Source organism: Homo sapiens, chromosome 10 (genome assembly GCF_000001405.40).
Source record: "Homo sapiens chromosome 10, GRCh38.p14 Primary Assembly".
Lineage (NCBI taxonomy): Eukaryota > Metazoa > Chordata > Mammalia > Primates > Hominidae > Homo > Homo sapiens.
The window spans coordinates 5114666-5129591 of record NC_000010.11 but is presented as its reverse complement, the minus strand read 5'-3'; the positions used below and the strand labels follow the sequence as shown (position 1 = coordinate 5129591).

Below are 14926 nucleotides of genomic sequence, written 5' to 3'. Positions count from 1 at the left end.
TAATGTGTCCAGTTTCATTTCTAATTGAGCTTACTTGGATCTTCTCTCCTTTTCTTGGTTAATCTCACTAATGGTCTATCAAGTTTCTTCATCTCATCAAAGAACCAGCTTTATCTTTCATTGATCTTTTGTGGGGGTGTTTTGTTTCAATTTCATTTAGTTCTGTTCTGATATTATTTCTTTTCTTCAGATATCTTTGGGTTTAGTTAGTTCCTATTTCTCTAGTACATAGAGGTGTGATATTAGGTTGTCAATTTGTGCTGTTTCAGACTTTTAGATGTAGGCATTTAATGATATGAACTTGCCTCTTAGCACTGCTTTTGCTATATTCCAGAGGTCTTCATTGTGTCACTATTATAATTTATTTCAAAAAATTACTTAATTGCCATTTTGATTTTATTGTTAACCCAAAATCATTCAAGAGCAGATTATTTAATTTCCATGTATTTGTATAGTTTTGAGGGTCCCTTTCAGAGTCAATTTCTAGTTTTATTCCACTGTGTTCTGAGAAGATACTTGATGTAATTTGGATTTTCTCAAGTTTAATGAGACTTGTTTTGTGGCCTATCATATCGTCTATCTTGGAGAATGTTCCATGTGCTGATAAGAATGTATGTTCCGCAGTTGGCGGGTAGAATGTTCTGTAAACATCTGTTTAGTAATTTTTTTCTATAGTATGTTAAATCCATTGTTTCCTATTTACTTTCTGCCTTGATTATCTGACTAGTGCTGTACAGTGGAGTATTGAGTCCCTCACTATTAGTGTGTTGCTATCTCATTTCTTAAGTCTGCTAGTAATAGTTTTATAAATCTGGGAGCTCCAGTATTAGGTGCATATAAATTTAAGATTGTAATATATTCTTGCTGGATTGATTCTTTTATCATTATATAATTATTTTCTTTGTCTTTTTTTTTAACTGCTGTTGCTTTAAAGTCTGTTTTGTCTGATATAAGAGTAGCAACTCCTGAATACTTTTGGTTTCCATTTGCATGGAATCTCTTTTCCCACCTTTTTAACTTGAGCTTATCCAAATCTTTATGTGTTAGGTGAGTCTCTTGAAGATAGCAGGTATTTGGTTTGTGATTTATTATCCATTCTGCCATTCTGTGTCTTCTAAGTGGAGCATTTAGGCCATTTATGTTCAATGTTAATATTCAGATGTGAGGTACAGTTCTTTTCATCATTTCAATTGTTACCTAAATACTTTTGGTTGCTGTTGTTGTGTTATTGTTTTATAGGATTTGTGAGTTTTATGCTTTCAGGAGGTTCCATTGTGGTGTATAACAGTCTTTTGGTTGAAGATTTAGAACTCCTTATAGCATGCCTTGTAGAACTGGTTTGATAATGTCAAATTCCTTCATCATTTGTTTTTCTAAAAATGACTGTATTTCTCCTTCAATTATGAAATATAGTTTTGCTGGATACAAAATTTCTGGCTGACAGTTATTTTGTTTAAGAAGGCTAAAGATAGGACCTCAATCCCTCCTAGTTTGTGAGGTTTCTGCTGAGAAGTCTCCTGTTAGTCTGATAGATTCTTCTTTATGTTACCTGATGCTTTTTTCTCACCTCTCTTAGGATTATTTCCTTCATGTTGACTTTAGATAGACTCATGACTATGTGACTTGGTGGTAATATTTTTGCAATGAATTTCCAAGGAGTACTTTGAGCTTCTTCTATTTGGATATCTAAATCTCTAGCCAGGCCAGGGAAGTTTTTCTCAATTATTCTCTCAGGTAAGTTTTCCAAACTTTTAGACTTCTCTTCTCCCTCAGGAACACCAGTTATTCTTAGGTTTGGCTGTTTTACATAATCTCATATTTCTTGGATAATTTGTTCATTTCTTTTTTTTTTTTTTTTTTTTTTTTTTTGACAGAGTCTTGCTTTGTTGCCCAGGCTGCTGGAGTGCAGGTGCATGATCTTGGCTCACTGCTGCAACCTCCTCCTCCCAGGTTAAAGCGATTCTCCTGACTCAGGCTCCTGAGTAGCTGGGATTACAGGCACATGCCAGCATGCCAGGCTAATTTTTATATTTTTAGTAGAGACTGGGTTTCACCATGTTGGCCAGGCTGATCTTGAACTCCTGACCTCAAGTGATTCACCCAGCTTGGCCTCCCAAAGTGCTGGGATTACAGGTGTGAGCCACCCATCCAGCCTGATCCTTTTTTCTTATTGTCTGATTGGGTTAATTCAAAAGCCTTGTCTTTGAGCTCTGAAATTCTTTCCTTTACTTGTTCTAGTCTATTGTTGAAACTTTCCACTGCATTTTGTATTTCCCTAAATGTGCCTTTCATTTCCAGAAGTTCTGATTGGTTTTTCTTTGTGATATCTATCTCTCTGGAAAATTTTTCATTTATATCCTGAATTTTTTTAAAAAAAAATTTTAGGTTGTTTTTCACCTTTCTGTGATATCTTGTTGAGTAGCTTAATAATGAACCTTCTAAATTCATTATCTGGTATTTTAAATATTTTATCTTAGTTTGGATTTATTGCTGGGGAGCTAGTGTGATCTTTTTGGGGTGATTTGGGTGACCCCAGGGTTTTGGGATGACAAAATCTTGTTTGGTCATATTACCATAATTACTTTTCTGATGTCCTCTCATTTTGATAGACTACTTCTTCTACTTGTTCTTGAATTTATTTTTGATTTCCCTGTTTTTCTTTAATGTCTTTTTTCCCTTTTAAGGAACTGACTTTAATGTTTATAGTTTATAATAGCCTAATTGGGTTCTTAGTGCTATTAGGTGTGAAGAGTTATATGAGTTCCTTGGTTATAGAGAGTCTTTGTATCATGGCTTCCTCAGATGCTGGTTGTAGTAGCTATATACTCAGTGTGTGGGCAAGTTCACTGTCTCCTATGGGGTTGGAATGGCAGCAGTCTCTTGAAGCTTATCTTATTCTCCTGTTGTGTGCACTTTTTTATTTATTCAATTTTTTCCCAGTATTTTATTTATAGAGTTTATTTTATTTATTGAGTATCCCCTACCCAGGGATACCACCCCAGGCCAGTAGAGGTGGTATCTCTGGATAGGAACCATTTGTAGTTAAAGTAGGTAGATAAATGAAGTACCCAATGTGGTTGGGAGAGCTCTCAACTGGATTCCCTATCTTATCAACGTAAAGGGGGGAAGCTACCTCAGCTCCCATACCAGGTTGACAGGAAAGCTATGCACTTCCCAGCCTCACTCTTGTCCCAGTGTTCTGAATCTTGAGATCAGACAGGTACCTCTTTTCATCTGTAGAAATGTTGATGTTACAAGTAGGGAGAAATTGTGACTGCCTCTCATGCAAGCCTGAACCTGGGGAGTGCTCCTCCTGTGGGGATGCAGTCATTCTGAAGTGTTCCAGGAAAGCTGTGTATAGGTGTACCCATGCAGAGCTTCTTTAGGAGAAGCCCTAGCTATGTCTGCATTGATGGACAAGGGGGGAAAGAAGACCCCTTCTCCAAGACCCTTCATGAGCACCAAGGCCATTTGACTGTTGGTGGTAGAGGTTTAGACTTTCCCTACTGAATCTAGCACTGAAATTGTGTCTCTGCTGAAAGAAACTTCCCACCAGTGTAAAGATCTGGAACTCAAGTCCTGCTATCTGGATATTTTTGTGCTACGGGATGTTGTCTTGATGTGACGCTCCTTCCATTACACTAGGAGTAGAAGATCCTGAGAGCCAGACTACAGTGATAGATTGCTATTGCTCTTCTGGGTCTAGCCACCCAGTGGGGTTGCCCAACTCTGGGCTAGTGCTGGGGAATATTGGCAAGGGATCCTGTGATGTGACCTGTCTTCATGTCTCCCAGCAGTGGGTACCAGCACCAGCTCTCATGATGGTGTCAAGGAAGTGACATAGACTCTGTGAGATTCCTTGGTTACAGATAGCCATTTTGTGTTGGCTTTCTCAAATGCTGGATATAATAGTAGTGAACATGTCTCAGGGACAGGCTCAGGACTTCTTGTTAGTCAGGTAGTTGCAGGCAACAGGGACAGCTGAGATTACAAACAAGTTTTCTTCTTCCTGGGTGCAATGTTATTCTACCCAGGGATGCTGTAATGAACTGTGTTGGTTGGTTTCCAGCTCTTGCAAAAGAGCACCGGCTGTGAGATTTGAGCTTGCCTTATGTTGCCCTAGGGGAGGTATTCTGGTTTCTCAGGTGACAGGCAGGGTCACAGAGTTCCCAAAAGTTTATGTCCTTTGTGTTAAGCTACCAGGGTGGGTAGCTTTCAAAGCTAGCATAGGAATGAAGATATTCTCCCAGTAACAGTACAACTGTTATATCTAAGGAAGTACCAATAATGACCTCAGATTATTTAATACCCCATCTGTATTGAGATTTACCATTGTTTCCTTGAATGGTCTTTTATAACTCTTATTTTTAACCATAAACAGCAGATGAAAAAAATTAATGATACCATATAATATAAAAAGATATTAAGTACCAAAAGTATACCTAATAAAAGATGTGTACAACTTCTACAGAGAAAATTATACAACAATGAGAGATGTTAAATAAGTGGTAAATAAATATAAGATGTATCGTGAAAACAAAAAAAAATCCAATTGTGATTTTCATCTTACTGTATTTTGATAAGTTAACTTTTTTTTTTTACGTTTTCAAAAGGTACTTTTCTGTAAATTAGAAGTTATACTTGAATGCTTTATGTCATCGAGGTTAAACATTTTTGGAGATAAACTGTCTCTACCTTGCTGTATCCCTGAAATTACACCGCAGTAGGCAGCATGAAATGACAGATTGCCCCACAATTAGTCATGCTAATTTTGATCACTTGGTTAAGTTAATGGTGGCCAGATCTAATCTTCATAGAGATGTGTTTTCCCCTTTGCAATTACTAGTAATCTGCTGGATGATAATTATCAAGAGGTAAAGTTATATTCCACAACATATTTCCACATAATGATTGAGTATATAGCAATGATGTTTTAATTTTTTGTATTGTTTACAATTGTTACAATTGTATTGTTTAAAATTTAATGTTTTAATTTTTTGTATTGTGTTATTATTTTATTATTGTATTTGTTCCTTCCTTGGGGCTTTAAAGTAATTACTTTCAATTTTAACTACTAGTTTTATTATTCTGACTTTACATTTTATTATGAAAAAAAGAATCCCTCACCAAGTCAAGAAAAGAAATAGTTATTCCTCTCAGAAGTGCTAAAAGCTTAACTCTTTCCCTTTAATTATTCATATCCTAGAAAGAAATTACTGCAATAATCACCATCAGTGGAGGCAAATATTTTTGCTCTCTCTTTTAATCTCTCATGACTATGAACCCATGAATTGTTTTTGCTATAATTTATGATTGATTTTACTTATTATTGTTTTTGATGTTCAAATCTATACAAACATTACTAGTAATATTCCTATAAAACTACTTATTTTGCATTTTAAACCTGGCCTCATGAGTCTTTGAAGAAATTTTTACTTTCTGGCACAATTTGATGTCCAAAGCTCAGAATCCTACCCTATCCCAGAGCTGGAATTGGCTGTGTGCCCTTCTAGTGGTCAAAGGTAGTTAGATACTGGATCTGGTCCATGGAGTTGCTTGTGCTCAGAAATGACATTTCTATGTATACTTTTAGGAAACAGCAATATAAAATTTATTTTGATGGAAAAGATAATTAGTTGACAGTAATATTGTCAGTTCAAATTTGATGCTACACATATTTATTCACCTCCTTTTACTTTAATCTGTAATCTTTTTATATTAACATAACTGTTTCATATTATCTGATGTTTTTCTATCTTTGTCATCTGCAGGTGGAATGTCATCCTTACCTCAACCAGAGCAAACTGCTGGATTTCTGCAAGTCAAAAGACATTGTTCTGGTTGCCCACAGTGCTCTGGGAACCCAACGACATGAACTATGGTAATAAGAGCATCAGGAAGTTTACCTAAAATGCCATTTTGATGAAGTATTTTAATTATATGGTACTCTCTTTCCTGGAGTTTACTCTCAGTGAGTTAGGGTAAGGTGAGAATTTGCATTTCTGACGAGATCCCAGGTGATGCTGCTGCTGTTATTCAGGGGCCTCACTTGAGACGCTCTGGTGCAGAATGAACACCTTAGTCTGTTTAGGGAGCCGCCTAACAAACTGAATCCAGCCTCAGGGCTTCAGCATTTCTGGGTTTCCTTCCAGGGTGGACCAGAACTCACCAGTTCTTTTGGAGGACCCAGTTATTTGTGTCATGGCAAAAATGCACAAGTGATCCCCAGCCCTGATTGCTCTGTGCTACCAGCTGCAGCGTGGGGCTGTGGTCCTGGTCAAGAGCTCCAATGAACAGCAGATCAGAGAGAACATGCAGGTGAGGCGTTGGGTGGGCATTAGGACTCCTGCATGGTGTCCTTCACACATGTGCTTCCTGTAAGGTGAGAACAGGATACTGTTGGACTAAGTCCATTTCCTGGTTATTTCCTATGCACAAATGCTTTCTGTACATCCTAAAGGTTTTCTACTCTACCACAGAAGAGGCAGCATGGGTGGAGAGAATTAGGATGGAACCAAAACCAGAGATTTGGGTTTCAACATTAAGTTGGCAATTTATTATGCATTCCTGTGCTAGCGACATCTGCTTTTCTTGATTTTCTGAAATGAGGAGTTGGATTAGGTGTTCTCTAGTCTCCAAATCATTGCTGATTTTTTTCATTTCCTTCTTTACTCAGTATGAATTTCATATATTCTCTTAGAGTTTTCTTTATAGTAGTACCTGTTAAAGTCTTTGGGTATTTTTATTAGTTTGCTTGTCTCTTTCTATGTGTAGAACACCATAATTATACTAATATGTTTGCCCCAGAAAAAGCATTTCCTGATCAACTGTTCTACTTGCTCACCTCATGACCCCTGAATACTGTCTATTTGCAGCTGTGTTTGCTTGTCGTTATAAAAAATGTTTTCTGACTGATCTTTGAGACACATAGATGTTATGCTCAGAGTCCTACCCTTTGAATAAATTTCTCTTGCTTAAGTCTAGGTTGGTTTCTTGAATGGGATTGTTCCGTGTTTTAAGGGTTGCTCAGTCTAAGGCTGGATCAAGTTCCCGGGGAAGTGGGGAAACAAGAGCCTGACCAAGTGTGGTCAAGTCCAGGTGGCAGGTATTGTGTCTACACTTTCTTTTCCATTTTAAAACAAGTGATTTCCTTTTTCTGTCTCAAGCAATTTTCTAGAAATATTTTAGATTGATGAGTGCACATCTTTCTTTTGAGAAGTGGTGCAGAATAGAAGAGGGGTGGGATGGAGAAGAGGCAGAGCTCAGGTGGAAGAGGTCCCAGGCCAGGTGCACCTGGAAGCCGATGAGGATAGAAATGCCTCCCCTAATGCCATCCTTGCCTTTGCCCCTTGCAAAGTCCTTGGATTCCCAGGTAGAAGCTGCTGTCCTGGGAAAGGTGAATGTGAGTATCGCCTGCCTTTCAGGTTTTTGACTTTGAGTTGACTCCAGAGGACATGAAAGCCATTGACAGCCTCAACGGAAATCTCCGACATGCTAAGTTACAATTTTAAGTGATGCAGATTCTTTCACAGACCATTTTCTGCAGGATGCACAAAAACAGAGGGACACATCTTTCCTACATCAGGAAGACAGGCCTGAATTCAGGCATGGGGTGAAACAGGAGATTCACTGTAGCCCTCAGACCATAGGTTTCCTCCACGGCTCAATTTCTGACCCAACAGGAATGTTGGTCTGTAAGTAACACTGCCTATGTCTGCACCATTGTGAATCACTTTTTTTGATGCCCTCACTACCTGTGCCTGGGTCCTACGCTTTGGACGCTCTTACCCATTAGACTAGAAGGCACAGGGCTGTCTTAATTTATGCTAAAAAAAGAAAAATTAATATGATAACAAATATGTAATAATGACTCAAACCTGGTCCCTCTTTGTGTCTCCACCGAGGCAACGTAAGACATAATTTTAATATTTTTATGGAGATGGGCCCAGGTAGGTAAATGTGCGTAGGTCCTAGGGAAGTCACAGTGGGCCCTGCTTCCATGTCCTCCCGTAAGAGTCCAGTGGCATTTCTCCTTAATGTGGCATTACCTTTTCAGGACACCATTTATATCTCCCAAATTTATGTCTTCCTTGGCTTTCTTCGCCTGTCACAACTCTCATTTTCTCAGCTCTATAAATCTCACCAACCTGAATGATAAATGAATTATGAAATTAATAGACCCTCAGTGCTAGTGACTGAGGTGTCCCCTATGGCCTCTACCAAGATAAGATCCTCTGGAGTTTCTCTGGATCCTCAGGGCAAGACTCTTACTCCAGTGTCATCTTTGTCCATCTGAAGCCCATCTCTGGGGAACCCAACATCCCTTAACTTTGGTTTGTTCACAAACATGACGTTCCATTGGATTAACTGTGGCAGGATCTCAGGATTGAGGAGAAAGAAGAGGAATCAAACACAAAGAAGTTTGGAGGGGAGTGTAGAAATAGGGAAAAAATGAAATTTTTTATGTGTGTTTGCACCCGACAGAGATTTTATATGCAAAAATCAAAAAAAGAAAAGCCTCTATGTCGTTTTATGCTTCACTTAAAAAAAAACCTGGATTGTTGTAGAGCATATTAACTTAAAATTCTATTTATAATCCCTTGATTCATTATATTACTTATACATTACATATATAATATCATAATTAGCATGGCTTGGAAATATATGCTCATTTTGCTGCTTAGCAATGTAATAGCATCATATTTTCCACTTCTACACTCCAAACTGGTAGAATAATTACCAAAAACTAAAATAAAATAAAAATATGACTATTTCAGAAATAGGGAAAAAATTTTAATTATGAGAATAGAGATTCAGTCCCCCCCAAAAATATGTGAACAGTCTCTCTTCTTTTTGTGAAACCATACCAGGATTCTGAGAGAAGACATTTTTGAACGAACAAAAATGTGGGAAGTGACTTTTACATACTGAAAGGCTTTAAGTAGAAATCTGTGGCCTCCCTCATGAGAGTGTTTAGACTTGTCTTACTCATCTCTGTGACCCTATTCAATATCACAGCTCCTGGCACACTAACTACTGAAAAGGTACTCATTATTCACATTCAGTTGGAAAGGACAAATTATAAAAATGAAAAAAAAGAACACGGGAAAAGGAAAACAAATAATACTACTATTACTGAATAACAAGAATTCCTACAAGTAATCAAACAGTAATCACTTTTTGCTGAGACCAGCTTGATCGTGGAGACCCTAACCAGTGGCACTAGAGGAATTAAAGACACACACACAGAAATATAGAGTGTGGAGTGGTAATCAGGGGGCTGACAGCCTTCAGAGCTGAGAGCCACAGAGTCTTACCCACATATTTATCGACAGTAAGCCAGTGATAAGCATTGTTTCTATAGATTATAGATTAACTAAAATGGGAAACAAAGGGATGGGCTCTGGCTAGTTATCTGCAGCAGGAACATGTCCATAAGGCACAGATCGCTCATGCTATTGTTTGCGGTTTAAGATTGCCTTAAGTGGTTTTCTGCCCTGGGTGGGCCAGCTGTTCCTTGCCATCATTCCGGTAAACAAACAACCTTCAGTGTGGGTGTCATAGCCATCATGAGCATGTCACAGTGCTGCAGAGATTTGTTTATGGCTAGTTTTGGGGCCTGTCTATGGCCAGATTTGGGGGCCTGTTCCCAACAACTTTTTGCATGTCTAGATATTAGAGATACATGTTATGGGATGCTAGCAAACCCTCACTGTACCTTCGGAAAAACACTTGCATTCGCAGAGTGGGAAAAGAATTATAAATTAATATTCTTTTTTCTATTTCAATGCTGCTAATCACCCTTGTTATCCATTATCTGAAGAATATTGACCATGAGCTATTGAGTGATACTAGCAGAATTTCTTCCTTTTAGGCATCTTGGAGAGGATCTCTGTATTTGGTGAGGGGATTAGAAAGCAGAGTCTATAGTTTCTGTTCGCCTGCCTTTCACTTCTTCACTTTATGAAATAACAAAGATTTGAATATGAGGATGTTTGTTTTTCTAATTATTAAAAAGTGTGCATAAATAACATAAATATTTAGAAAATAGAAAAGATAGAGAACAAAAATAATGTGTAATTCATCCATTCCAGAATAATTTACATTTGGTGTATTTTTCTTCATAATTTTCCTATGCAAATATTTATGCTTGTTTTGTGCATTTTTACAATCATGAAATCATCTTCTACATGTAGATTATGTACTTTTATATATAACAGAAGTAACAAGTATTTTTCCAAGCTATCAAATATTATTCAAAAATTTCAAAATTTTACTGACTTTAAAGCAGTGCATCTCATTAATTTATTAAGATTCTTAATCATCTACCCATGTTCTGGCATGGTGTTAGTTCTTGCTTACTGTGCCATTCATTCATTTATTCATCTAGCAAAACTTTATTGAATATTCATTGTGTGCCAAACATTGTTTTACCAATAAATAGGCAAAAATGAAATAAAATGTAAATGCCTTGAGTTTATAGTCTGGTAGAGGATGTAGATTATGAATGAAACAAACCATGTAAGGAGTGTGTAATTGATCAAAATTGGTAAATGCCTATTGGGAGACCATTCTGCAAGGTCTTTCACATTTCCGCACATTTGATAAGTAGGGGGCACTGACTTCCCTGCATTCCACCTGTTTTTTTTTTTAAAGAAATTTATAGAGTGAACAGTGTTGGCATATAGAGATAGTATTTTTCTTCAAGGGAATGGAAGGCATGTTTACTGTCCAGTAATAGAAAGAAAACAAAATATCTCCCTCCAGTCAAATGGCAGCTATAGGGGCCAAGGGAAAACTTCCCCTTTGCTCTCTGATGTTTCACTAAAAATCAATTGATGATTGGCAGATTAATAAGAGAACCAACATACAACTCTATTAATGCCAGGACTCAGCAAACAATGCCCCAAATAAAGGCTTCAGAAGCAAAAGTTTTTCTATGAGCTTCTCTCGCCCTCTTATATGTCAATCCTCTTTTCCTCTAAACTAGTTACAGAAACTAGAATCTTTCTTCCCCAAGGTAGGTCATAGGAACCAGAATCCATTTTTCCCAAAGCCAGCCATAAAAACTAAAGATACTACTCTAACTTTCCCTCCACCTTTCTGTGTAAATTATGGCCATAACAATAATTATCTGACCTATCTTGTTTGACTCTAGGTCATAAGACTCCCATTTCACAGAAGGCCCTGCCCCACAGCCAGAAGGAAGGAATGCTACTTAGGCCAAGAAGAATCTAGACACATAGGTTGTACAAGACATAAAGTCAACAGAAATTACCTTGAAACTTTAAGTTTAATGTCTGCTTTGCTGGAATTCTGATTTCCATGAGTCCTGTTTCCCCTGTCCCTACCCCTGCCTTTTTTTGGTTAACTTCCCTTTTGAAAAAGGAATGTTTACCCACAATGGATAACATGGTTGTACTTTGGAAGTAAATAACTTATTTTTGACTTCATAGGCTCATAACTGGCAGGAAGTTGCCTTGAGTCTGATATGAATTTTTATACTTTGGAATTTTAAGTTGGTGCTAGACCAAGTCACAACTTTTGGGAACTATTGGGATGAAATGGCTACATTTTGCGTGTAAGAAGAACATGAGGTTATGGATCAGGGGCAGAATGCTATGGTTGGCATATTTGACCCTCCTAACCATATGCTGAATTTTCGATGTAGGAGGTGAGGCCTAGTGAAGTCATTATGGTCATGGGGGCAGATCTCTCATGAATGGCTTGGTGCTCTCCCTGCAGTAACAAGTGAATTCTGGCTTTATTACTTTTTTCATAGCTGCTTGTTAAAAAGAGCCTGGCACCTTACTTTCCTCTCTTGCTTTCCTCTCTCACTCTGTGAACTCGGAACATGCTGGTTCTCCTTTCCTTTCTGCCATGAGTGGAAGCAGCCTGAAGACCTCACCAAAGGCCTAAGAGATGCCAATGCTATGCTTCTTGTACAGCCACCAGACTGTGAGCCAACAAACCTCTTCTTTATAAATTCTCAGCTTCAGGTATTCCTTTATAGCAACACAATGGACTAAGACAGTTTCTAATTTCTCTACACACCTAGAACCAGCATGTCCTGAGTGGGTGATCTTAATACCTGATAATCACAGACATACCATTTGTGACAAAGTTTTCCAAATTGGAGACAATCTGGAGGGTATCAATCCTACCCCAGGTCCTGGCTTGCTTCAGAAATCCTCGATTGAGGGTGGATATGTTTCTTCCCATATCTCCATGAACCAGTATCTCCTATAGTTGAAGACCACCCTGGAGCCAAATGTACAAATAGGTCTTGTTATCTGAGGGCAGCTCAAGTCCGCTACCTCATTGTTTGCTCCTGAATCCTCATTTTGGCTCAGGAAACTAACATTTAAAAGTGGTTAAGCGGTGAATTAAATGTGGCTATTTTGTAGACTCATGTTTAGGAAGCACCTTTTAACCCTTTTCCTGTTTAAAAAAAAAAAAAAGCTCACTGCCAGTGCTCATTTAATTTTACATAAACACACTTTTTGAGGCTGAAGAAAATCTGACTTATTTTCAATGTAAAAATGTAAAAACTGTTCTTAGAGTTATTTCTAAAGAGAACTAACATCAGAATTCTACGAATCATCACAATCATCTATTTTGGAGAGATTGGATTCATCAAATGAATCTTCGGCCAACAAGTGTGGGAAAATGATGTTAACATCACACATACGAATGCTACGCTTTCCAGGATTTAACATTTCCAGTGATCAAGAATTACTGTATTTTGTAAGTCATTCACAGATGGTTCTGCATGATACGCAGGGGCCACCCAAAAGCAGACAGCTGCAGCACTACAGCCCCTTTGATGTCCTACATCCCTGAAGGACAGCAATGAAGGGAAATCTTCCCAGTGGGCAGAACTTCAAGCAGTGCACCTGGTTGTGCACTTTGCATGGAAGGAGAAATGACCAGATGTGTGATTATATAGTGATTCATGGCCTGTAGCCAATATTTTGGCTGGGTGGTCAGGGACTTGGAAGAAGCATGATTAGAAAGTTGGTGACAGTGCTTTGCAGGGATGGGGCAAAGTTCTCCAGAAGGCTGTGTATGCCCTGAATCAGCATCCAATGTATTAGTACTCTTTCTCTCATAGCCAGGATTCACGGTCCAGGAATCAAGGGGTGGAAGTGGAAGTGGCACCACTCAGCATAACTCCTAGTGATCCACTAACAAAATTTTTGCTTCCTATTCCCGTGACTTCACCTTCTGCTGGCCTAGAGATCTTAGTTCTAGAGGGAAGAACGCTGCCACCGGGAGACACAATGACAATTCCATTAAACTGAAAGACAGTCATCTGGACACTTTGGGTTCCTCCTACCTTTAAGTCAACAGGGTAAGAAGGGAGGTACAGTGTTGGCTGGGGTGATTGACCCGGGCTATCAAGATGAAATCAGTCTACTACTTCACAACAGAGGTAAGGAAGAGTATGCATTAGGGCGTCGCTTAGTATTACCATGCTGTGTGATTAAGGTCAATGGGAAACTACAACAGCCCAATCCAGCAGGACTACAAGTGACCCAGATCCTTCAAAAATGAAGGTTTGGGTCACTCCACCAGGAAAAAAACATGACCTGCTGAGGTGCTTGTATATCAGGTATACATAGGTATGCATACTGGGTAGTAGAAGAAGGTAGTCATCAATACTGGCTATGACCATGTGACCAACTGCAGAAAAGAGGACGGTAATTGTCATGAGTATTTCCTCCTTTTGTTAAAACCATATTTGTGCATGTATATACTTGTACTAAAAAAAATCTTCATTTTATTTTCTTTATCATGTGACATAAGATTTATTGACTTCACATCAGCATTTAAGTATTGTTTACTTTATGTAATAGTATTTGGGGTGAGGATTGGTGCGTTTCCAGTTGTAGGAAGGATAGTTGTATTAGGCATAATTATGACCTTATTATTGTATTTATTTGAATACTATGTATGATCTCAGGAGATGTGTATGGGTTCAAGTTAACAAAGGGTAGACTTGGGATGGTTAATTCTGAGTGTCAACTTCACTGGATTGAAGAATACAATGTTGATCCTGGGTGTGTTTCTGAGGGTGTGGCCAAAAGAGATTAACATTTGAGTCAGTGGGCTAGAAAAGGCAGACCCACCCTTAATCTGGGTGGGCAGAATCTAATCAGCTGTCAGCATGGCTAGAATATAAGCAGGCAGAAAAACATGAAAGGAGAGACTGGCCTAGCCTCACAGTCTATATCTTTCTCCTGTGCTAGATGCTTCCTTCCCTTGAACATCATACTCCAAATTCTTCAGTTTTGGAACTCGGGCTGGCTCTCTTTGCTCCTCAGCCTGCAGATGGCCTGTTGTGGGACCTTGTGATCACGTGAGTTCATACTTAGTAAACTCCCCTTTATATATATTTAAATATATATATATATATTCCACTAGTTCTGTCCCTCTGGAGAACGCTAATACACTATTCTGGATGCCACTAAGAACATTCGTGACTCATGAAAGGAGGGCAAAATATACACTTGAACAGGAGTTTGGAAGATGTTGATTCCAGCCCTCATAGATGGATGACTTTGAGGAATTCAGGACTTCAGTGGGGAAAGTAATTGCAGATTTGGTGAAAATAGCAAGAGAACTAGAATTAGATTGAAAACTGACTATTACTGAGTGGTTGCAGTCTCATATAATTTTCACAAATGAGAAGTTGCTCTTTATGGATGAACAAAGAAAGTGGTTTGGTGAAATGGATTTCACTTCTGATGAAGATGCTATGAAGAATGTTGAAATGAAAACAAAGGATTTAGAATATGACATAAAGATCGCTGATAAGATCATGACAAGGTTTGAGAGAATTATCTATATACTATGATGTTCGCACAATGAAAAAGTTACCTAACAAAGCCCTTCTCAAGAAGATAGCCAGGCATTACATGAC

At 38.3% G+C, this 14926-nt stretch overlaps 1 protein-coding gene across 8 annotated transcripts in view; it reads left to right on the top strand.

Annotated features, from left to right (window-relative positions):
- The window catches only part of AKR1C8 (aldo-keto reductase family 1 member C8), a 69338-nt gene extending 55559 nt beyond the window's left edge, over positions 1–13779 (top strand). For 3 of the 8 annotated variants that reach the window (XM_047425156.1, XM_047425157.1, XM_047425164.1), the window contains exons 11-12: positions 5772–5881; positions 6153–9111. The gene's annotated coding sequence lies outside the window, so the exon portion shown is untranslated. Of the gene's footprint in view, positions 1–5771; positions 5882–6152; positions 9112–12561; positions 12748–13239 lie in introns of those variants that run through there. The other 5 variants (XM_047425162.1, XM_047425161.1, XM_047425160.1 and 2 more) reach the window with 5 other exon arrangements.
- The last annotated feature ends 1147 nt before the right edge of the window (positions 13780–14926 follow it).